The 24,328-nt window shown below is 36.8% G+C and overlaps 1 protein-coding gene and 1 long non-coding RNA gene across 22 annotated transcripts in view, besides 1 other annotated feature; one reads left to right on the forward strand and one right to left on the reverse strand.

Annotated features, from left to right (window-relative positions):
* Positions 1–24,328, reverse strand: part of TTN (titin) — a 281,435-nt gene that overhangs the window by 240,129 nt on the left and 16,978 nt on the right. For all 21 annotated transcript variants that reach the window (NM_003319.4, NM_133437.4, NM_133432.3 and 18 more), the window contains 30 exons: positions 23,861–23,998; positions 23,243–23,380; positions 19,731–20,024; positions 19,503–19,625; positions 17,953–18,234; positions 17,603–17,668; positions 16,689–16,947; positions 16,422–16,485; positions 16,095–16,310; positions 15,004–15,146; positions 13,883–14,088; positions 13,112–13,345; positions 12,757–13,001; positions 11,587–11,858; positions 11,303–11,467; positions 11,032–11,200; positions 9,239–10,932; positions 8,804–9,085; positions 8,090–8,356; positions 7,721–7,993; positions 7,345–7,608; positions 6,992–7,252; positions 5,094–5,354; positions 4,295–4,558; positions 3,943–4,203; positions 3,562–3,822; positions 2,556–2,816; positions 1,897–2,038; positions 1,642–1,807; positions 264–495 (listed from right to left, as the gene is read on the reverse strand). In NM_003319.4, the coding sequence (NP_003310.4) occupies positions 264–495; positions 1,642–1,807; positions 1,897–2,038; positions 2,556–2,816; positions 3,562–3,822; positions 3,943–4,203; positions 4,295–4,558; positions 5,094–5,354; positions 6,992–7,252; positions 7,345–7,608; positions 7,721–7,993; positions 8,090–8,356; positions 8,804–9,085; positions 9,239–10,932; positions 11,032–11,200; positions 11,303–11,467; positions 11,587–11,858; positions 12,757–13,001; positions 13,112–13,345; positions 13,883–14,088; positions 15,004–15,146; positions 16,095–16,310; positions 16,422–16,485; positions 16,689–16,947; positions 17,603–17,668; positions 17,953–18,234; positions 19,503–19,625; positions 19,731–20,024; positions 23,243–23,380; positions 23,861–23,998 (7,903 nt within the window). The remainder of the gene's footprint in view (positions 1–263; positions 496–1,641; positions 1,808–1,896; positions 2,039–2,555; positions 2,817–3,561; positions 3,823–3,942; positions 4,204–4,294; positions 4,559–5,093; positions 5,355–6,991; positions 7,253–7,344; positions 7,609–7,720; positions 7,994–8,089; positions 8,357–8,803; positions 9,086–9,238; positions 10,933–11,031; positions 11,201–11,302; positions 11,468–11,586; positions 11,859–12,756; positions 13,002–13,111; positions 13,346–13,882; positions 14,089–15,003; positions 15,147–16,094; positions 16,311–16,421; positions 16,486–16,688; positions 16,948–17,602; positions 17,669–17,952; positions 18,235–19,502; positions 19,626–19,730; positions 20,025–23,242; positions 23,381–23,860; positions 23,999–24,328) is intronic.
* Positions 7,465–8,664: an enhancer, noted in NCBI's record as "BRD4-independent group 4 enhancer chr2:179638309-179639508 (GRCh37/hg19 assembly coordinates)". NCBI's record gives its function as "activates an origin of replication core promoter dependent on BRD2, P300/CBP, MED14 and CDK7 cofactors, and independent of BRD4, by STARR-seq in HCT116 cells {active_cell/tissue: HCT116}" and the evidence as "EXISTENCE:reporter gene assay evidence [ECO:0000049][PMID:35650434]".
* LOC101927055 (uncharacterized) lies at positions 10,809–13,846 on the forward strand. Its single transcript, NR_120594.1, has 2 exons — positions 10,809–12,638; positions 13,721–13,846. It is a non-coding gene; the product is annotated as an uncharacterized LOC101927055 (long non-coding RNA).

Consider the following 24,328-nt stretch of genomic DNA (forward strand, 5'->3'; position numbering starts at 1 on the left):
ACACCCAATGGGTGTTCAATAGTTTTGAGCAACCAGATGAGGATCTGGCCATCAGGTGCTTTCTGAAAATAACTTCTCAATAGGTCTTTTAACAGCTGCCCTCCCTTTTCCATAGATATAATGTGAAAAAAAATGTAGCTGGAACCACATGAATACCATAGGTTCTTTAGAAATTTCCTTCAAGTTACAAGAATTTAGTGACTTAAACAGGAGGATTATTTCTGATGGATCCACAAAATATGCTGAAATCTGTCCCTACATACCATTGACATAGAGAGTGACAGAACTCCTGTTCCTTCCTGCCACAAAGGTGTATTCTCCTGCATCGCTCTGTCTGGTCTCAGAGATAAACATTCGGTGGATTCTTCTTTCCACTACATATTTGTGTCGTTCTTGAACTTGGAAATTGATTTCAATGCCATCTTTATACCAGTGGGCATCAACATCGTCTTCATTGACCTCAAATTCAACAACAGCACGCTGTTTCTCAATGACCTGTTGATGGAACAACATAAAAAAACAACAACAACAACAAAAACTTGAAGCTCTGGTTTCCTCCCAGTTAATCAATTTCTAAAACTGGTCAATGAATGGCATGTGAAACCAATATATTATAATGTAATAAGTTGGCTGATTATAGCACTCTCTAATTTTTCCTGCCTAGTATTGGACAAATGGTACATAAACTTCTCTTGTAGAGAATTGTGTTTACAGCTGCATGGAGGAAAGGAGCTGCCCCAAAGAGACAATTATTTCATCCTTAAATGTTTGCTTCTTATTTACTAATAAGGGATATAATGATGCTTTACCTTTGGGGGCTTTTTATTGTCTAAAAAGTTATTACTTAATTTGATTTCATTTTATATGAATAATAACTTTGTGGGCTAGGTAGGAATTATTATCCTCATTTTAAGAGTGAGAACACTGAGGTTCAGAATTGGCAAATAAATGATGGAAGACATCTCCAGGTTATCTGAGTCCTCATTGAAGCCTTTTTCATTATAGTCCACAGTCTGTAAAGCCTGGTTTTCTTTGGATGAGCAATATGATAAAGCTGAACTCAACTGGTATTTCTCTAGACATGTTTCCTCCATTATATCATTTGGGATGGTGGACACTTATGAGGACAAGCTCTGTAAATGCAGCCGACAGCAAGAGTGCCCAGCATCCTTGCCAGGAACCCAGCACGGCTTGGACAGGGCTTTCTCTTAGACTTCACAGAAAGTATTTCTAGCCACTAAGTTCCTTGACACTTGCCTCTCCACAGATAGAAACCTTCTGAGAAAATATCACCTTGTTCTAAATTTCCTTAATTCTAATTGATGTGTGAACCTCACGATTTACATTTTAATTCTTTTCTGGTTGGTGCTGCTTGGCAAGCAGCCATTTATTAGACAGTGAAATTTCTACAGCTGCTTTAATTAACGTATTTAGACAGCTGCTAGGGACACCCTTATTCCCTGAGTGGAAACTGTGACTAAATTGAGGTCAGCATAAGAGAGTCTAAGCCAAGTAAGAATGAGCTGATTTAATTCTTTAAAGGATGGTGGTTAGAAAATGTAAAAGGGAAACATTAAAATATAAAATGATAGATTATGGACTACTGATGATTTTTCAAAACATTTAGTATGTAGACAATACCTGAACCTCCTTTTTAATACTTCGGATGCGAACATCTCTGCCTTCTACAAAGAGTTTTGCAGTTGACACGTTGCCTCCTGCCACCACTGTGTACTTCCCAGCATCAGACATCCGGGTGGATGGGATCAGAAGGCGGTGGACATATTTCTCCTTCTGAATCTTTATTCTATGGATGAAATGGAAATTCGAGTTTACCGTATGGTGATTCAGAGGAAACTGGGAATTACTGGAATGTAGCAAGACAAAACAACTGACCTGTCTGTGATCTGCAGTTCCTGGTCATCTTTCATCCACTGTACAGTGATGTCAGGTTCAGAAACTTCACATTCAAACATGGCTCGCTTCTTCTCCAGTACCTTAATGTCCTTAATGTGTTTCCTAAATTCTATATGACGAGCTGGAAAATAGCATGTAGAAAAATTAACATTTTTAACAGCTTTATTGAGATATAATTCACATACTGTACAATCCACCAATTTAAAGTATACAATTCAATGAATTTCCATGTATTCATCATTGTGTAGCCATCACCATAATTTTAGAACATTCTCATTCCCCAAGAAGAAATCATGTAACCCTTAGCCATCACCCCAAGGACTTTTCTATTGTCTCCCCTGTAGACCTAAGCAACCACCAATCTACATCTCTATAGATTTGTGTATCTTGGACATTTCATATAAATGGAATCATACAATATGTGGTCTTTGTATGGTCTCTGGCTTCTTTCACTTAGCATAAAGTTTTAAAGGTTCATCCATGTTGTAGCATATCGTAGTGCTTCCTTTTTATTGCTGAATGATATCCCATCGTATGGCTATCCCACATTTTATTTATCCATTCATTAATTGATACACTAAATTTTATAAAGCATGTATGACATTTTTTCTATGGATCTAATATGTATGAAACCATACCTTCCACATAAAGTGTGGCTGTTGATGTTGCTTTTCCAGCCACAAAGGTGTAGTCAGCAGCATCCCCAAAGTGAACATTCCTGATGTTCAGTGAGTGTGTGAGCTTTTTGGTTCTCATCTGGCACTTGTCAGTTGATTTGATTTCCACACCATTCTTTAACCATTTGTAAGAGATGCCTTCATAGTTCACTGTCACCTCAAAAGTAATAGTGTCTTTTTCTTCAGCGTTGATGTCTTTCAGCATGGAAGTAATCATGATTGCTGCAAAGGAGAAAAGAAAAAACACCCAAGGAGACTTTACGTAAATATGATGTGGGTTATAACAGGTGCAGAATAAAAATTTGGAATGTTTTTAGTGCGTCTGTTGAGGAGATTACAGTTTAGAGATATAAGCTTTGATACCTTCCATGTACTATACAGGACAGTGCCAACTCACAGAGGAACAGAAAGATCAAGTGATAGACACTGAGGCATCTTTCCAGGTAGCCTTTCAATGCTACTCTAACTGGAACATTTTATCCAGGTGGAGATACTAGTGCTTTACTCAGTGTAACCACATACTAGATGTTTCAATTAACAATTTTTTTTCTTTATTTTTTGAGGCAGGTTCTCACTTTGTCGCCCAGGCTGCAGTGCAGTGCCGTGATTGTGGCTCACTGCAGCCTTGGCCTTCTGGGCCCAAGCGATCTTCCCACCTCAGCCTCCTGAGTAGCTGGGACTACAAGTGTGTGCCACCATGCCCAGCTAATTTTTTTTTTTCCTTTTGTCTTTGCTAGAGGCAGGATCTCATTGTATTTCCCAGCCTGGTCTCAAAATCTTGATCTCAAGTGATTCTCCTGCCTTGGCCTCCCAAAGTGCTGGGATTACAGGCTTGAGCCACCCTGCCCACCCAATCAAGGATTTTTGAGTGGTCAGCAAAGTGTAGGATATAGAATATCAATGAATCTACTGAATATTTGATATTTTATATATATGTGTATATATATATATATATTTTTTAACTTACGGGTGACTGTCAGGGTGGCACTGACTTGGTCATTGCCACAGACAAATGTGTATTCTGCCGAGTCCTCTGTGCTGGTGTTCATGATGATCAGCTGATGGAGTTTTCCCTGCACAACTATCTTGAACTTTTCACTCATCTCAATTTCCACACCATTCTTCAGCCACATGGAAGGGACATTGAAGTGGGACACCTCACACTCAAAAGAGGCAGTTTTGGTCTCAGGCACCTCGATATTTTTCATGGTTTTTGTAATATGTAATGCTTGGTAAAATCAAAGAGCACTTCAGTTAATACAATTTGTTTAAAAAGTAGATGAAACCAAACAAATAGATACATGGGGTTCATTAAGGAAAGGGCTGTAGGGGGCTGCCTGATACTTACTCTCCACAAACAGTTTTGCTTTGCATTCCAATTGCCCGACCACAGCTGTGTATTCCCCAGCATCTGAGGGGGAGATGTTCTGCAGCATCAGCTTGTGGACTTTCCTTTCTGAGACCAGTCTGTGTTTGTCACTTGGCTTAATTTCCACACTCTTATGGAACCATTTTACTGGAACAGTGTCATGGGAAACACTAACTTCAAAGGCAACAGTGGCATTTTCCAAGGCTGTCACATCCTTTGGCTTTTTAATGATCTTGACAGCTAAGAGGAAAATTGGAGCAATTCAGTGATAGGGTTAACTTAATGGTAACCATGGGCTGACTGCTTGAAAAGTGTTTCTAAATCAACTTACTCTCCACGTGCAGTCTGGCACTGGCTCCAAGCCTTCCAAGCCTGAAGCCATAAACAGACTCATCCACGATGGCACAGTTTTTAATCCTCAGAGAGTAAATTGTTCCTTTGACAGAGATAGCATACTTTTCATTGGATTCCAGCACAACTCCATTTTTGATCCACTGGACACCTTTGACATTAGGGTGTGTAAGCTCGACAGTGAAAACAGCATCCTGTGTTTCTGTCACTGTGAGGTTCTTCAGAGTCTTCTTAATTTTGACAGCTAAAGACAAATTTATGATTGGGTTAGAAAATATAGATGACATCATCAAGGAAAAGAAGTCCTGAACAAGATCATTGCTTACTCACCCTGCAAAAGAATGGCTACCAAACATTTTACAGTTATGCAGCACCTCTGTTTTAAAAAACACCTGAGATTATTTAGGGGAACCTGGGATCCAACTGGACATGTACATCGTGAAATGATTTTTCTATGCTTTAGTAGTATGAAGTTTGCATAGCTATGTATTAGCAGCATAATAGACTGATTGGAGAAGGGTGAAAGACGAATGGAGAATCAGTGTCTGATTTAGCTGTTTCACAGAGCTTTAACCTAAGAAATGGCTTTTTTGCATAAACGCATTTGATAAGCAATTTTGTACCTTGTGGAATGTGTCTCAGGAAGGTTTAGAGGATCTAGAATGACTTTATGAAATGAAAATTTATGGTATCCAAAATGGCCATATCGTTTGTCTTTTAAAACGATAACGATCAAGATTGTAATATGATTTGAAAAGGACAAATCCTATGTTACTTGCCTTCAACTTTGAGTTTGGCAGATGTTTTGGAGGTGGCCACCTTGTAGGTATATTCTCCAATGTCATCTAATTTGGTGGCAGCAATGATAAGTCTCCTTTTGTGGCCATCAGACTCACTTCTGATGTTGTTAGTCAGTGGTAGGTGTTTGCCATCCCTCAACCATTCGCCTTTGGAATCTGGGTTGGCAACTTCACATTCAAACACAGCTTCCTGGGATTCAGCTACGGTCTGATCTGTGAGTGGCTTGGAGATGGCCCCACCTTTGGAACAAGAGATGTACAGTATGAGTCCTTTAAACATATTCACACAATGGGAAAATCTTTGCAGAAGTAAATATAAAATATCAAATTTAAGAACATGATTTTGAAATCATGAAATGTCTATGATTGTTTTTACCCATATTGAGAAGGTACCAAAGAAATCCCTTATTCTAAGTATGCATAACTGATAATTAGGAGAAATACTGGAATCAGAAAAGTTTTGTGAAGAAAAAATAACTGTTGAATTAATAGGAAATTCTTAGAACAGTATACCACCAGGATAGTCTCTAACCCAATTCCTTCTTCTTCAAAAGCATTTTACTTGGTCTTTTAATGATTATTTCCTGGGAATCTGATATTTTGACTACATAAAAATTTGCTAAACAAAATGTACGAGTCATCAATGTTTCTACTACATTGAGGATTTCTATATATTAAAAATCACTGTGTTGGCAAATGTCGCCCATTCTATGAAGTTTCACCCCATTGCCTCCACTCTTATCATCCATTAGCAGAAATAATTACTGCTTTAACAAGCTAGTTGCTTATGTATCTGTCCTCTCTAAATTATGAATTTCTCAAGAAAAAAATCATTTCTTATTTAGTTTTGTGTCCTGAGTTTCTACAAGTGTCTGACCAATGGTAGGTACTTTAAAAACACTGGGTGAAATCACAGAGGAGTTCATAGTTTATTCCTGTTTCCACACATTTAAAACATGTAATTTATATTAAATGTATAAAAATGCTGAATCTGAAATTTTGTTTTACAAGTCTTTTCATGGTCCGATCTCTGAAGAAATCTTATAACGTAAGTAAGTATAAACCATGAAACTTTCATACCAAATAAGACAAATCATTACCATATGACTTGCTTCAATACTAGATGTAATGGACAACACGATCTGAATGTAACATCTCAACTCCTCAAAATTTAAACTGTAATGAACCAAACAAATTAATGATGACTTCTAGTTTTTTCTGGCAATTGATTTACATTTTTTATTCTTCATTGTAAAGCTAAGAAATTCTACTGAATGATGGTCTTATTTCTACATGATATCATAAGAAATACAGTTACATTAAGCTGTATTTTGAAAATATTTATTGATTTCATTAAAAAGTAGGAAGAAAATAAAAGGCACAAAGGCTAAAGAAGCAAGAATGGCTAAAAAAGGAAATAATTCTTTAGAGTAAGGAAGTTTAAATAAAGCTCAATACAGCAAACACCAATTGATTATCTGTCATTTGCAATATATTGGAATATACAAATAGAATTCCAGATTTCAGGAGTTTATACACTGATATTGAAAGAGGAAATGGGGAATAAGACAAGTGCATAATAAACACTAGGAAAGAGGCACATATAAAGTGATCCTGGGGTTGGATGAGGAAGAGATCATATACAAATGGAGAGATTAAGGAAGGTTTAATGGAGAAGGTGACGTTTGAGGTAGGCCTAGAAGAACATTTGTAATTTAGGCTGGTGGGAATGGTGTTGCAAGTACTATTGGCTTTGGGAACAGCATAAGCAGAGGCATGGAAGTGGGAAACTGAAAGGAATTTTGGGGGAAATGAATAATAATTTCTTAAAATAACAATCACTCCTCGTAAGAATTTAGGTTAATAAATATACCAACCTGCCACAGTAAGTTTTCCAGATGTCATATTTTCTCCCGCGTAAAATGTGTATTTTCCTTCATCATCTTTCATCATATTTAGAACTGTCAATTTATATATTTTTCCATGTGCTTCAATTTTATATTTAGAACTGGGCTTGATTTCCTTGTCCTTAAAATTCCACAGGACATCAATTCCAGAGTGGGACAGCTCAACCTCAAACACCACATTTTGAGTTTCTGTACAGGTAAGGTCACGAAGACCTCTGATAATTTTAATTTCTGGGGAAAAAATAAAATAATCTCTTGGTTATTGTTACACTGGGAAAGTAGAATGCTTAAAGTAATTATTAGATAGGTAGAATAATCCTTACTTTCTACAGAGAGATTACAGTTGGTTTCAACTCTGCCAACTATCAGCTTGTAAGGTCCTTCGTCTGAAGCATGAGTTCGGTTAATGACTAGTCGCTGTTTAGTACCTTTCACAATGGCCTGTACACGGTCATCAGGCTTGATTTGTTCATCATTTAAGTACCACTTAACAGAAGTCACATCAGGGACTGACACCTTACATTCAAGCACAGCCTTGGTGCCTTCAATCACATTAACATCTTTTAGAGGTGTTATCACGTCCACACCTGCAAAATCATACACACACAAGATGAATGAATTTTGTTGAAATTGTCTGCTCCTTGAAGTTCTTTATGTTGCTTAATAGTGTAAACATAAAATTTTATAATTAGGACTCACTATAGACAGAGACACGCCCACTGGTGGAGAGGCCAAGGGCTGGAATGGTGAAAGAGTAATTTCCAGCATCTTCCTTAGTCATGTCTTCAATGAGCAGCATATGAGATTGTTTGTCTATCACAATGTGAACCCTGTCACTGGGCTGCACTTCTTGGCCGTCTTTCATCCAGACGCCTTCCACACTTTCCAAGGAGACTTTAACTTCAAGCTGAACAATGTCACCCTCACAGACTTTTTGGTCACTAAGTCCTTGTAGGATAGCAATGGGGCGGGCTGTGAAATATGGGGAGAAAAAGAATGTTATGATCATTTTTTATCAATAAACCATAATGATGCTCACTGCAGGCTGACAGGAATGGGAGGACTTACGTTTCATCTTTAATTTACAGGTTGTCTTTTTCCCGTCGATGACAAAGCTGTATTCTCCCTGGTCCTCCTTGGTTACATCCTTGACCGTGAGGTTCTGACGTCCACGACGAGATGTAATTGTATATTTGCCATTGGATTTAAGCTCCACATCATTATGATACCATTTTCCTTCTATATTTTCTGGGGATACAATGCACTCTAATTCTCCTGAATATGATTCTGGAACTTCTATGTCCTGAAGTTCTTTCACAAACTCAACAACTGCACCTGAAGTGTATAACAGAAAGATAAATCAATTTTTTTGGAGAGGTATGCATCTAGACTTAGGATAGAGATGATGTCTTGTATGTCTTTTATCTCCCCCATACTATCAGGTGTATTCTTAATATCTACCCGCTGATGGGCTGAGAGATAAATTTTCAATAAGAAGCAGTTATTTTATTTTAATTTTTAAATATTTTTGAAAGTAAAGAATTATGCTTCAATAAAAAACTTAAAAGCTAAAAATCAAGATAATACTACTTTAAAAAATCCAAATGGTCAAATTGTTAACATTCTTAATTACGAACATAAATTTATGATTCTGGCTATGAAACTTATAGTCAATTTCCAAATAATTGTTTCATGAAAGAAAAATTGCATAGCTAATTTTACCACATGCTAAGGGTGACTTTAGAGCTTAGGTAAACAATGAAATCCTTCGTTGTTGAATACCTTCAACAATAAGTTTAGCAGTCGTTTTGACATTTTCATCTTCCACAAGTACACAGCTGTAATCTTCAGCATCAGACGTATCAATGGTCAGTATGGAGAGGAAGTGAACCTTTCTGTCAGAGTGCATCCTGTATTTATCTCCCTCATGAACCTCCATACCATCTTTATACCATTTCACTTTGACAAATGGTTCTGAAGTTTCACATTCAAAGGTTGCCATAGTGTCTTTTTCCTTAGCAACAACATCTTGTAATTCCTGTGTGAAAGTGATCAATTGCTTGGCTACAAGAAAAAGGTGGGGGAAAAAGGGGAGAGCACATTATATTAAATTAAATTCTCAACCTGAGGAATGGGGAAAGAAAATAAAAGTAAACACACTCATGGATATTCTTGAATACAAAGACAGGTCCATCAAAGGAAAGACATGCAAATTACCTTGGACAAGTAAGAATGCGTGACTGGAGGTTTCTCCAGCTATGTTGATGGCTTTTACCATGATGCTGGCAGAGTCCTCAGCAGTCACATCTCTTATGACCAATTCACAAACATTGTCTTCGGGCCAGTACCAGTAGATCCGGTCAGACCGTTCAATTTTGACACCATTTTTGTACCATTCACATTCGGGGTCTGGTTTCCCCACGACTCTGACCCGGAAGTGTGCATCAGATCCTTGGCCCACTGTTTGGCTCTGGATTCTTTCGAAGATTTTTGGAGCCTCCATACTAGGACTTAGTTCAATCTTGTCAGGTTTAAAAGTTGGAATCGTGATTTTGCCTTCTTCGGCAAGAGCTTTCTTTTCCTCTTCAGTTAACTCTTTGGTCCAGTGGAGAAGTTCATCTTTTGTCTTCCTGAGGAGTTCCTCATAGGATTCATCCTTCTTTCGAGACTTGAGCTCCACAGCGGTAATGGCTTCATAATAGCCCTCTTCTGTTCTGCGCTTGAATTTACTGCGCAGCTCTTCCGACTCTTCAGGCACTTTTTCATGGGTAATTCTTTCAGCCCTTTTCAACTTCACAACTTCTTTGGTTTCAGTGGTGTCAACAGGTCTATCCACTTTTTGTACTTCAAACTGAAGCTTTCCTGGTTCATGTACGTGAAACTCAGGCCTTGGTTCAGGAGCTCTCCTAAGGACAGACCTAAAATCTTCCCTCTGTTGAATCTCAAGCTTCACTTTATGCTCTATCACACCTTCAGGATTTTCCGCGGTGACCTTCACTTCACCTGTGTCATATGATTTGCAGTCCACGATGTCCAGGTAATGGATACCATCATAGCGAACTCTGAACCTTTTGCTTTTGCGGATGAGCTGTCCATTGAGGTACCAGTTGACTTTGGGCTGAGGGTAGCCTGTTACCCTGCAGCGGAACCTTGCAGTCTCCCCTTCAAGTACTCTAACTGGCTCTGGGTACAAGACAATGTCTGGCTTTTGCTTTTCTTTCTGATCTGTTGTTACACCTGTAAGTGCACCTTCATGAGCCATTCTCTCTAATTCTTCAATTCTCTGTAAGCCTTTCCTCCCCTCAGGCAATTGGGATTCTTCCACAAGACTTTTCTCATCTTTAACAATAAGGGTAGCAGATGTGTGATCTGTTCCATATTTGTTAGTGGCTCTGCAAGTAATGATACCACTGTCTCTAGAATATGCAACGCCATAATCAAGGCTGCAGTACCCAAATTCATTGATCATACGGAGCCTGTTGGCTGCTTCAAGTGGCTTTCCATCATGGAGCCACTCCACCACCATCGTTGGGTCACCAATGGGTGTTAGCCTGCATTCAAAGTGGGCAGGCCCAAAGCGCTTAAGTCTTAAGGAAGTGAGTTTTTTCTTGAAAAATGGTTTCTGTTGTTTCTCTTTGTCATAGAGATCACCTTCTTCCCATTGCTCTTGGCCATATCGCAAATGGAGGGGCTCCAGTTCTGGGGCTGCAATCTCCTTTGCTCTATATGTCCCCCGTGGGATGATTAACTTTCTCTCTGGCTCAGGCTCTGCAAACTCAACTTCAACATTTACTTTGCATCTTGTAGTGTCTCTGCCAGCTTTATTAATAGCAGTCGCAGTATACCAGGCAGAATCTTGGCTGACAGTGGAATCGATTTTAAGGGCAGCTTCTCCCTTGGTTCCTTCAATTCTATAAAAAGTTGGGGGAGGGAATAATCAATATAGTGGTATAGCTTCCCTGGTTATTGGATTTGTATAATGAGCTTAGCTTTATTATTTCCATACTTACCTGATTTTGGGATATTTATGAGGCACAATGATGTCACTGTTTTTCAACCATACAATGTCAGGGTTGGGGTTACCCGTAGCTCTGACTTTCATTTCAAGTCGGGAACCTTCCTTTATATTGACATTTTTCAGTTTTTCTACAAACATCGGTTTTACCTGATGTTCCACAGCTGAAAGAGAAAGGTCATGATTTAGAGGGAGTAAGGCTGAAATACCTGTTTATAACCCAAGTGATAAGAAAATTCATTTATTTTTATTTTATCTCATTTTACCTTCCACAGTTAAAATCACTGAAATTGAAGATCTGCCTGCCCTGTTTTGGGCAACCACAGTCCATTCCCCAGAATCACTGGGTGTGGCAGGGACAATAATTAGTGATTGAGTACCATCTTCTTTAATGACTACTTTATGGGTATAGTCATTGACAATTTGCTGGCCTGTGAAAATATGTTTAAAAGAAAGTAGATTTTAAAATAGTTTTTAAAAATTGTTAGATGCATACATAAGCTTGTTTTTGTGTTTTTATGATTCATGAGCAAAAACTTATCACGCTTACCATCATGAAACCAGAACGTCTCTGGCATAGGTCTACCAACAACCTTTAAGTCAAATCTGGCAGTTTGCCCTTCTAAACATTTGAAAGAAACAGGTTTTAACACAAAGACTGGTTTATATAGTCTCTCAAGTTGTGACTCATCTGTCTCCTCCAGCCTACGTCCAGGGGACATTCTTGCAGGGGACATCCGTGCAGGAGACATCCTTGCAGGTGACATCCGTGCAGGAGACATGCGTATAGGAGACCTGCTCACTGAACGTGGAGAGAGAGATCTGCAAAACAAAGACACACAATACTTTCGTGAGGCATAAAGAAAACTCAGCAAAACAAACTTCATTTTGTCTTATTCATTATTCATGTTATTTTAGAATTTACTTCTTGCACGTATTAGAAGGCACCTCAAACTCATTCAGATCTAAAATAGAATATATTATTGTTGCCCCCACAACTATGTTTTTCCTATATTCTCAATTTTAGCTGGTAGTCATTCAGTATATCCAGGTACCCAGGCTCAAAAATCTTGGAATAATCCTCAATACTCTCTTTTCCTTACCACTTGGATTTAATCAGTCACTAGACTTTTTTGATTTAACTACTAAAACATCCTAATAAATGTTGGTTGGATAAGTAAACCAATGAATACATTTATGGAAAAATAAAAAATACACATTCTTTATCTCAGAGGAGGAAAACATAGAAATGAATTTGGAAACAAAACAAAGCAAAACAAGACTCCATCTACACATTGCAGCCAGACTGACTTGGAGTTTGAATGCTGGCACCACCGCTTACAGGCTGGATGAATTAAGACAATTTTCATAGATTCCCAGGGCCTCAGTGTTCCTATTTCCAAACCAATAATAGTCATCTTTTTATTGCAGGGCTGTTGTATAAATTTACATATGTAAAAATCAGGTGTCAAATAAGAGCTATTGTGATATTAGCTATAGCACTAGGAAAATAAACAGTATGTTACACTGATGAAAATTCTTTGCTCATCTTACACAGGGGCAAGAAATAAAAACTTCTGGCAATTGTTGGTGTTGCCAATGGTAAGTTTCTGTGCCATTTTAGCCCTCGATTTTCTTCTTACACAATAGCAATTTGCTACTATTTGATGTTTTGAAAACAATTTACATACTAAATAACCCAAATTATTACAAGTCTTACCTGATTCTGCTCACTGGCTCTAGTGTGGGAATGTAAGTCGGAGCTCCAAGTGGTGCAGCAGGCTCCACATACAATTTCCCTGAGCAAATTGCATTTCCTTTAATATTGCTGGCAAATGCAGTGTAGATTCCTTCATCTTCTGGAAGAACAACAGGTATACGCAGACTAGCTCTGCCATCTTGTAGAAAGTCCATTTGGTATCTTTCTCCATGTTTGATGCGCTTGCCATCTTTGTACCAAGCAATCTGCAAAGAATACCATGCATGTATGAATAAAATTTACATCAAATAGTTATATTTTAACCAATTTGTATCTTTACTGTGGCAAGGAGCTATGATAAATGTTTATATTTTACCTTTGGTAATGGATATCCAGACATCTTGCAATGAAAAGTGACACCCATCCCCTCAAGAATTCTATAATTCTTGATTCTTGAATCAAATCCTGATTCAACAGCTTCAGATTCAGAAATGTCAACTGCCATCTTTTCTTCTCCATCTTCTTCAAGAAGTTCTTCTAATGTAGTCTTTATTATTCTATATTCAATTTCTTTAATAAGTCTCTCTTCAAAGGAAGAAATATGGAATTCCTATGCAAAAAGATTATGGTCTGTTAAAAATACATATCCTTACTGATATAAATTATTTAAGGAGATGTATCTGAGCTAGACTGTTGAAGTTTTTAGCTGGGAGAAGAATCTAGAGGACTTTTTGGTTTGTTTGTTTTAATCTGCATTATGGTCATCTTTCCCAGTGAATGTTGTGGCATCTTGGGTAGAAAGGTATTCCAAAAGCAGGAGTTAGATTTGGGTTAGAGGTTACATTAGCTTATCACACAGATGAAGAGATCTTGGCATGAATGAACTCAGCTGTGCTAATATTGGTGTTTTCCTTAATATATTATAAGCCCTATTTTTAAAGTCACATTTATGGCCTATATGTAATCTCTATTTCTAAACTCACAGGTGCAACATACCATGAAGATTAAGGAAACTTAGCAACAGTGAACTTGGACCTTCTAATAGCTGTCTAACCCCGAGCTCATCACTTGAAAATGAAAATATCAAATAAAAAAAGGAAAGTATAATTTATGAAATTGTTTGGTTGGTCATTACTTTTATACTCACCTGATCTTCTACATAAGTTCTGACCACTACAGTATCTTTGGCCATTTTCTTCCTAATTAAGGCTTGTTCTTTTTCATACTCTTTTTCATACTCAGAGTATACAAATCCAGGTGCTGTTTCTCCAACTTTAGGTTCTTGAACAAATGCAGTCACTTGTGTCTGATAAAGCATTTCTTGCTGGGACTTCATCAGTAACTCATAATCAGCTAAGAGTTAAGAACATCAGTTAATTTTTAATGCTCTTATTAGAAAACAGTCATACCACTATGCATTCAGGTAAACTCTACACTGGGGAAAGTTGATAACCAAAAACCAAATTTTCCAAATATCTACTATTGAAGTGCTCAATATTTTCTAGATGGAATTTGGAAACCAAACTAACACTAACAAATCCAACCAGCCATTACAATTGTAGAAAGAATTTTATATTAGCAGTCAGTTTTGGGGGGATCTACCACGGAGGACTTCCTAATTTGCTGTGTGTCTTTTAACAATTCATTTACCTTCCTGAATATTGAGTGCTTTATCTGCTAAATGAAGATAATATTGTAATTTCCTCTAAGGGATACTGTGTAGGTCAAGTGAAACAGAGTGTGAGCCAGTTCACTGTAAATGTGAACAGTCTAGCATGAAAGCTGTTACATTTGTTTTCAAGTTATAAACATTGAAAATCCTGACTTCCAGGTTTTCTTTAAGATATCAGGAGCTCTAGCAACACTGAGCCTGGTAACAGCCTGGTGCATGCCTGGCAACAACACAGCTACTGTCTCTTTGAGGCAGGGCACCTACTCTCCAGTTTGCTACTGTTTTCATTGAGCTCACTGTTACCTGCCTGGGCCTGGAAGGCAACCGGATTTAGAATCTCTGCATTTTCAGAGGCATGATATGCCTAGAAACAAATACAACAAAAAGAAACTATTGCTAGAACCTCAGAAGTTTAATGACAGTATAGTTTTTGAGGCCATGTGGTCTAAAACATTTTCCATACAACTGAGGCAAAGACACTGGGGCAAAGTATCAGAACCAGTAAGTGGCAACAGGTTTTTCAGCAAACGGACAGCACTGCTATCTCCTTGTATTTCAGTTCTTATCATGCACATAGAAACTGGAGTTGCACTTACCTTCTTCAAGCAAGGAAGCAGATGCAGAAGTTTCTCCATGCTTATTGCGAACAACAATAGTGTATTCTCCAGCATCATCAGCAAAAGTCATAGAAATCACCAGCTTGCATTCACCGGTTTGTTTGTTGTAACTCACTTTGTATCTTTATGTAAATGTACAAAATTTAAAAATCAGTTATCAACAACTCTTCTGTGGGTAAAATAATTGGACTTATCTGTGAGTGGATCTGTGGTATAAAATTCAATGACCCTAAACATATGACTAAGCTCCACAATAGATTATAAGATTGCTGAAAATTGAGAAAAATGCAAGAACATGAGTAATTAGGGCCAAATAAGTTAAAATATTCATTTTAAAGAATATTTATTGCTAGAATCAGTCATGAAATTAAGTGGTTTTCAGTGTTTATGTTAGCAAATGATCAGGTCACTTAAACAACAGGTATTTTCTCTTTGTTCGTTATTTTTCTCATTATTTCATTCAGAGATCAAATGAATAATTAAAACAATAAATTCCTTCAAATATTTCAGTATTAACTCTCTGGTACATTATATTTATTATTATGAAGGTACGGCACCTACATTTTTAGATTACCAGGTTGCTCTTTTTATCTTAAATTGCAAAATATTCAGAGCTAAATTTTATATTGAATTGAAGAAAAATTACTAGCATAGATTTTTGTGCATAACTAGCTTTCTTCTTCATTACATGGCTATTCTTCTATCTTTTAGTCACTTAGTTATTACATGTTTTTATTGAAAATTGTCTCAAATCTTTTCTGGAAGTGTGTGTGTGTGTGTGTGTGTGTGGGTGTGTTTGTGTGAAAATCCATATTTTCTCTACTTTCACAAACTCAATGAATTAAACTATAATGTAAAGAAATATATCTTCCATCCACTTTTGTCACATAGCTTTATTTCTTAGGAAGACTTTGCACAAAAAAAATGTAAAAATACCTCAAAACAAACTAAGAAGGCTCCACAATGAAAGAGCCTATGCTCAGGGTCGGTGGGGTGAGTAAATTCTACTCTAGGCTTCATGCACGTATTATACAAGTCACAGAGAACTCTATATTCAGCCATCAAAATACCTGTATCCAGTGGTTAGAGGAACACCAGATTTTTTCCAGTATACATGGGGCTTTGGGTTGCCGCCAACTTGGCATCCAAACACCACGCTCCCACCTTCCACCAGTTTCTGGACCACTGGTTTTGTAATAAAGTAAGGCGCGGCAGGTTCTCCAGGCCCTGCTTGTTCCTCTGTGAGGCTAGTATCAGTCATAACCACATCTCTTGACTCAACAAAGCTGGAAAGAGAATTCCCCTCATATTAGCTTCCGGGTTGCAATTTGCCAATACTGGTGGGGCTGAAAGTCAAAATGGTACTAGAACAGCTACTAATTAGCAAAATATTTTACCGTTTCTCTTCTGTAGTAAATTTCTCAGTCACGGCTGTGGTTTCCTTTTCAAATTCTTCTGACACTAAAAGAAGACAAAAGTTTCTCATTGAGATGAGATGTTTAGTGACCCCTGCTTAGCACTGACAGTTAAATTGACCATATAATCTCCCCCCAAGTTCCAAAAAGGGACATCATTTCAAGGTGCACAGAAACCATATTGTGGAAAAGAGTGTCAGATGAAAGTGATGGCATGTGCATTAGGACTGTGGGAGGGTGGCCACTAACCCTGCACAGCCAGATAGCAGGATGTGCTGACGGTTCCAGCCTCATTTACAGCACTGCAAGTAAATCGCCCGCTGTCTTCCGCAAATGCTTCGCGAATCATAAGACGAGCAATTCCACTCTGGAAGGTTATCTGGAAGTCAATGGAACTTTCGATTTGGTAGTCTTCCCTGTACCATGTCACTGTCGGGGATGGGTATCCAGAGATGTGGCACTCCAAGGTGACAGATTCACCTTCTATGACAGTCACATTTTTTAAGCCCTGAAGAGAGGAGAAAAAATAAATAATGATACGTGTGCATATTCATTAATCACTTCTGTTTTGTAACAAATGTAGAGTTTGAACTTATGCATTTCAACTGCCACAAAATGGCCTTTTAATCAGGACTCCAGAAATAGTAGTAGAGAAACTAATATTTATATAATATACTAATATATTAGTAAAGAGCTGTAAGGCTCAATAGCAAATGCTACCTATTCAACAAAGCTTTGCCATGGTATCACCAACTGGAATGAATCTATGCCTCCCATGGATTCTCCTTCTGTTGTGATGTTTATCACCTTATATATTTTATTATGCTTGTTTGTGTACATTTTCTCTGATGGCAAAGAAAATATTTCAAAGAGGGATGGATTGGTCTTTATGTCTGCACAGCTCCTGCAATAATGCCTTCTGCATATTAGAAGCTCATTAAATCTTTTGAATCCATGAATGATGTACCACATAGAATTCCCTTCTTCCTTGCCAAATATGGTCAAATATGGTCTTCCAGACCAAATACGGTCTTAAAATGAGCATCTGTAAGCTCACTAATGTCATTTTTGTATTAATTTGAGAAACTGATCTTTGCAAACGTGTATTAAAATGATTTGAGGAGATATGAATAGGGTCCAGCATTATCAACTTCTTTACTCACCGAGACCAAAGTTGGTGGAGTAACAGGAATTTCAACAGGTGCTGGTACTCTTGCTGTTTCTGTTACCTAGATTTTTACAAATTATATTACAAAATGCTCATGAAATTAAGGGAAATCTCATAAACTCTTAGCTCATGCAACATTATATAATTATAAAAATATAAAAATAATTATAAAAATAATTTGAGAAAATGATCTCTGACCCATACTATGCTCCATAAAAATCAAGTCTTAGTATGGCAAAGGAGAAAGGCAAGACTCCACTGGCTACTTTTCAGTACAAACTAGCCAACCACCTGGCCCTGCTCAATGGGAGTGGACCATGTAACAGCGGGTAACCAGTGACCAACCTTGGCTTCGCGTCCGTGCAGTACTTCAAAGCGCTCTTCACGGACGGTGGTGCCAGTGATGCTCACCCCTACTTCCTTTTTCACCTCAACGCCAGCTTCACTCTTGTAAGTATCTGGTGTGTCAGCGAAGGGGAACTGTGGCAAGGGTGTGGGCTCTGCCCTTACTCTAGTCTCACTGGGCTTCACAGTAGGAGCCTTCACCGATTTGGTGATCTTCTGAGCAGAAGATGTGGCTGACAACTCTTTTTGTAATGTGGCAATAGCACTACCGGCTATTGATGCCTACATGGAAACAGAGTCAGAAAATAAAGTCATTTAACCATCCTCCGATGGCTAGCCCTCTTGGACTGAGTCTGAGCCTATTTTCTATAAGGTCTGTTCTTTAATGTTCTCATTAGCACTCATTATCACACAGTTAATGAAAAGTCATTTAGAGATAAGCCAATTATAAAGCTCCTTGTCATGCCTGTTAGTTTGTAAAACAAATTTTAAAATATCTTTTTTAAAGAGTTGTATTCAGAACTCCTTATTTTACAGCTTTTATCATAAAAGGACAGGATCTTCTAAAGCTTAGTCACGAATTTTCACTTAACCATTCCGATGAATGCCACTTTTGAAAATACCACAGTGGGAGATTCAAAATTAAGAAATTATTGAAATTGTTGGTAAATGCCTAAGAACTACTTTGCAATAGTACATTTGGGTTTTAGCCACAAATCTATGTGAAAGGTAAACATGAAGACATTCAGAAAAAATATTTTAAAGGTTTCCTTACTGCTTTTATTCTGTTGTGGTCTATGGTTATTTGTTTTGTAATTTGGGACTAAATCAAATATAGGCATTATATGTAACTTACAGTTCTTTGAAGGCATAGAAGGTTTGGGTTCTATTTCTTGGATGTGTATAATAACAATAGTGACTAATATCAAGGATTTATTACATGCTGACAACTGCAGGTTTTTATGTCCTTTTTACTTGCATTTTACATGTATGCTTACTTTCTCCTGATGACAGAGATTATAAGGGAGAAGATAGGGCACTAATCCAGAGCTATTTGATTCCACAATCCAACCCGACCACCATACAGTACCACCTCTCCATCTTGCTATATTGAGTATATAAATATATGATTTCTCAATGTCTGTCTTTATTATTGAAACACATTCACAGTTAAGTTACTCTGAAATGTCTCACAGCATAAGTAAAACTATGCTGTGTAACACACTACCTTTCACAAAATCATTAGAACAATAGTAATCAAAACAATTGAGTTTGAGCTGTCCCTGAAATGTGAACTAGAGAGAAGCCTGTGTGGATTTGTCTCTCCTCAGAGGTATAAGATAACCACTTGTGACTCTAGGCTCACTCCCCTGGGCGAGTTTCAGAAACCAAATCTTTAGGGTGTCTGGGCCCACTGTGAATGCAAACACACGCACACACACATCACCAAAAAAGAATCCTCCATTGGCCTACCCCAGAGATGCTCTGTTTCACAGGTTAGATACTTATTTCCTTTAAACATTTCTGTATCATGCTCTGTAACTTCTTACCTCATATCCATGTTCTGTCTTAGGAACAGAAATTTTTGAAACAGTAAAGTGAGGGCTAGCTGTGCGGGGGCGTTTATCCACATGGACTAATCTTTCCGTTGTTAGATCTGTAGTTTTCTTGATCTGCATTGAAATGAAACTCAGTGATACCATTGATCACCAGATGACCACAGCAGTGAGGCTTGCTTTACCATGAACAAGGTGAAAAATCAGCAGGTATAGACTCACCTGTGATGATATGTGCATTCCCTTTTGATCAGTAGTTTTGATATGAGTCTCAGAAGGAGCCTGGATTACTCTAGGCTTGACTGCTTTAGGGACAACGTGGGGTTCTGAGGCTGGACGTTGGGGAGGCTCAGCTACCTTTGCGGCGGAAATGCGTTCCTTATATCCGTACTCCAAAGTGGTCTGCTGAGCATAGGATTCTTCAAGATGCCCAGGCTCTCTGGGCTCTCTGACTCGGGCCTGGTCTACTGCAGCAACAACTGTTGCTACAGCTTCAGCCTTTTTTCCAACGTCCACCTGGAGACAAGGTTTCCAGAATTAATACATAGGAATATCGAGATCAGGCTGGAATATCTCCTGGGCATCAGGACAGGCAGATGGCGTCCACATTATACAGCAGTGTTAACGTGTCTAGAAATGTATCTCAGAAACACTTTTAGGGACTATTTCATTGATTATTATATTGTACAGACATCTATTTAGATATACTCTCTGTACACCTACTTAATTATACTAGACATTAAATCACATATACACAACATAGGACAATCACAATATGAACATAAAATCACAAGAAGATTTTGAAATTTTCTAGAATTTTTCCAGGCAGACAATCAATCAGCAATTGGAAAATCAGAATTTTGGAGCTGGTTCTTTTCACTGATTATTTTTATTATCTTGTTGACCATTTAGTCTGGTATTAATGCAGTGACAGTGATGATATAAGTGCACTCAAATACCGTCATCATCCTGTCCAGAAAAATCAGTGACTACAGAGTTATATGGTTGCATGCAAATCGGACATAACATGAAAGCTCACAAACACAGAGTGAGCATATGAATTTACTTATGATTCCCTAAGGGTAAGATTGTTTAATCTATCAGAAAATACCTTTCTTAAAACACACAGATGACAAAGAGAACCCCGTGCAAATAAAAATATTGTGATTAAAATGAAAGTGTTATCATGTTTGGATTCAAGAGAACAACCTTTCACATTGAAGTTTAATTTACTTTCATTATTATGGAGAGTTAAAGCAAAGAATGAAACAAATATTATTTTCTCGTTTCTGAGTCTGATGAACATTAATGGAAATACAATTTGCAGAGGAGGTTCTCTTTTAAAGAAGGCAAACTAGCTGATGTGGCTTAGATATTATGATTCTATGTGATACTTGGAAACAGCATACCTCAAAAATCACATAGCCATGTTCATTTTAAAAGTACATTTTAAAAGTGCATTTTAAAAGTAAGATTGGAAAATTTTATTAATATTCAGTTTTCTATACCTGTGAATAGAATCTAGAATGCATCAGAAACATTCTTCAACTATGCTACCTGCATATCTTTAAAAATTATTCTCTGAACCATTCAAGATATAAATGAGATTTTTCTGAGATGGAATTGGGTCTTTAGTGATCATGGGCTTTATCCAGGGCTTCCTTTTAGGAAGACACAAACAATTTCATCTGCCTCGAAGGACTGCAAATACCATCTTCACTTTAGATTGCATCATCTCAGAAAAAAACATAAAATACACATGAGGCTTAGGTGAGTTAAGTTTGTCCATTTATTTTTTTCTTTTTTAAAAACTATATTGGCAATGAGCTGACTTTAATTGTATAGACATTTTAAAATGTTAACATCTTCGACAGATAACACTAAATAAATAAATATTATTTTGATTGTAGTGTGATCACATTTCCACTATATCTCATTTGAACCTTTTAGCCAGTCTGCTATGAAGTAGTCAGCTTAAGTCTTAATTTTATTTTAACAATGATAAAAGAAACTGTCAAAGAAACTGTCATATGACTAAATATCACACAACTGAAATATTTAAATTTTGTTCTTGATTTTAAACATATGGAAAAATCTTAATCATGGTAAAATATTTTAAATTGAGGAAGCATCTGTCTGTTTTTTCCTTGAATTATTGTATATCAGATTTATATACACACACTTATTGGTGGACTACAAATGAGTATGCTGGTAACCGCTTTTATTTCTTAGTGGACTTTGATATCTCTCACATGTTTGTAACCTAGAGAAGCAGGAAGACAAATTGGACTAGAATACTCCAATTCATACGAGTTAAATGCTGAGAATAAATTTAGGAGACATAAAGAAGAGTATTATTTGGTCTGACTTTTCACTACTAGAAATGCTCACTGTTCAACTGGAGGATGGACTGAATCTAACCATCTCTATTGTTTTATTGATCAGTTAAACAATTAGATGGAACACTAGAAGCACAATTCACGACGGATGAAAAGTTATGAGAGTTGATGATGAAATGGGATGAAACAATACTTTTCACCTCCATAGCATCAGTTTTCATCTCTTCTCGAAAAAGATGTATTTGTTTTTGTTTAATAGTGAATCCTTCTCTAGTCATTGGCGGTGTGGCTGGTTCAGCAGATTTTGCAGTGGTAACTACTACTTCAGGTATAAACATTTTCTCAGCTTCCATCCTTAGCTAATTTTTAACAAAAACAAGATAGTCAATTCATGACAAAATTTGAATGGAAACAAAAGTAAAAAGTTAATCACTCATGAAGTATGTTGCATAGTGGAATTTCTGTCATTTATGAGACTTCTGAAAGGCTGATATGCCATTAAATGTTAGATTTGAGTAAAGGTTTAAAAAGTTTATCTTAAATCATATCTTAGAAAAAAAAGATGTAGAGTCAGAAAATGACACTGAGGGAAATACAAATAGGATTCAGGCCATCCTGCTAATGAAATGGAAAAACTTTAGTTGCTAATTTTCAAGTGGTATATTAGCAATAAAGAATACAATTAGGTAAATGGCTCATTTGGAGTAAATGACAGAGTCATGGGAAACAGTTTAATTCATGGATATTTCATAGCTACAAATAGATACGGTAATCTTTTCATGGCTTATGTGTAATTGTTCTGTTTGGATACTTCCTTCTCTAGATTTTAATATGCATCTTGTTTAGCTTTAGTGGGAGCTGCTACAGCATGCATTATAATTTTTTCAGCTTATCTTCTCCTCTGATATTTACAGGAGGGAAAAAAGATAAAGTTTCATACAAAGAAAATTATGGGTAATTTACTGAAATAAGTCATACTCCATAACATAATATACTGAATTTATGACCCTTCAAAACACACATCTTCTTGACAGTGAGTAAGAGTCATCATTTACTTATACATCTTCCGTGTTTTTAAAAAATGTTCATGGGCCTCTTAAAATTAGCCTGCATGCAATTTTAATCAACTTCTGGAAGATTCCCAGATGTTAATAAAATGTTGACAATAATGGTGAAGAGATAAGTGGAGAAAGGGATATGTAGTAATATTAACAATAATAAATTTTTTTAGTTTCCAATTATTTAATTGTCTAAAAAATAAATTTGGTTAATAGTGACTCATACATAAGAAATTCAGAGACTTGATATTAATGTATTACAATAAGGAATTTCACATGATATGTGGTATTAATGTATTATAATAGGGGATTTCACACTTGGAACAACAATAGTCACCTTTCCATGGGTAACTTGGATTTGTTCTTGTCTAGTAGCCATAGTTTCTCTAGTTCTCAGTATTGTTTCTTGTTCTTTGGCTTTAGCAGTAGCAACTGCTATTGTAGACAAGGCAGTTTTCTCGGCTTCCTTTCTCATCTGATTATTACAGTAAAATCAAGATTTAAGTTGAACAGGGCTTCAAACACACATAGTATGACCCTTCCCCCTTCCTCATGGGGATGCAAGATGGTTATTCAGGGTTAAATACACAAGAGAAATAAACTTTCACCGGCAATGTCTACATATACTGACTGAGAATCACAAAACTTAGAAATGTTAGCTATTAAAAAACCTCTAGATGAGTCCCTGTGTCACTTTTTAAAAATTAAGCTAAAAAATGCTAATCTTCATGCAAAGAATAATGGTGAATAAAATGAATTATAAATGTTACAGATGGATGAAAATCAAATGTGCAGATAAAATTAATGATAATCAGTCTCATATTTACCATTTTGTTTTTAGTTAGGGATTTTAAAAGGCAAATACAGATTAATAATTCATACCATATTGTAGTTAATAGTTTACTAGAAATTAGTTTAAAGATGAACTTTTCACAGCTCAAATATCTGTATTCACCTTCTCCTGAGTTATTTGCACTTGTTCTCTTTTGGTAGTAATGCCTTCTCTACCTCTTGATACTAAATCTTGTTCTTTGACTTTGGGTGTGGCAACTATGACTTTAGGTACAACTGTTTTCCTAGTTTCCTTCATTATCTGATCATACAAAAGAAAGTAAGAAAATAGTCATTAAATTCCATAAATCTTTAATAAAAGAAACGTAAGTCAAAAAGAAAGGAGGCAAAATTTCTTCCTATTCAAGGAAATTTTAATTGCACTAAAATATATCATTTGAGTTACTTTGATCATCCATACTGTTTCACTGGCAAAAATATCAAAACAATAAGTCCAGTTTAAAAGAAAAAAATGTGATTAGCAATAAAAGACTAATGAGTGCTATTTTGTACTTTTCACATTTTTTAAAACTGCAATCTCTGAGACATTTCAGTAGCACTGTAAATAGCACATAATTTTTTGTATTATGAA

Source organism: Homo sapiens, chromosome 2 (assembly GCF_000001405.40).
Source record: "Homo sapiens chromosome 2, GRCh38.p14 Primary Assembly".
NCBI lineage: Eukaryota > Metazoa > Chordata > Mammalia > Primates > Hominidae > Homo > Homo sapiens.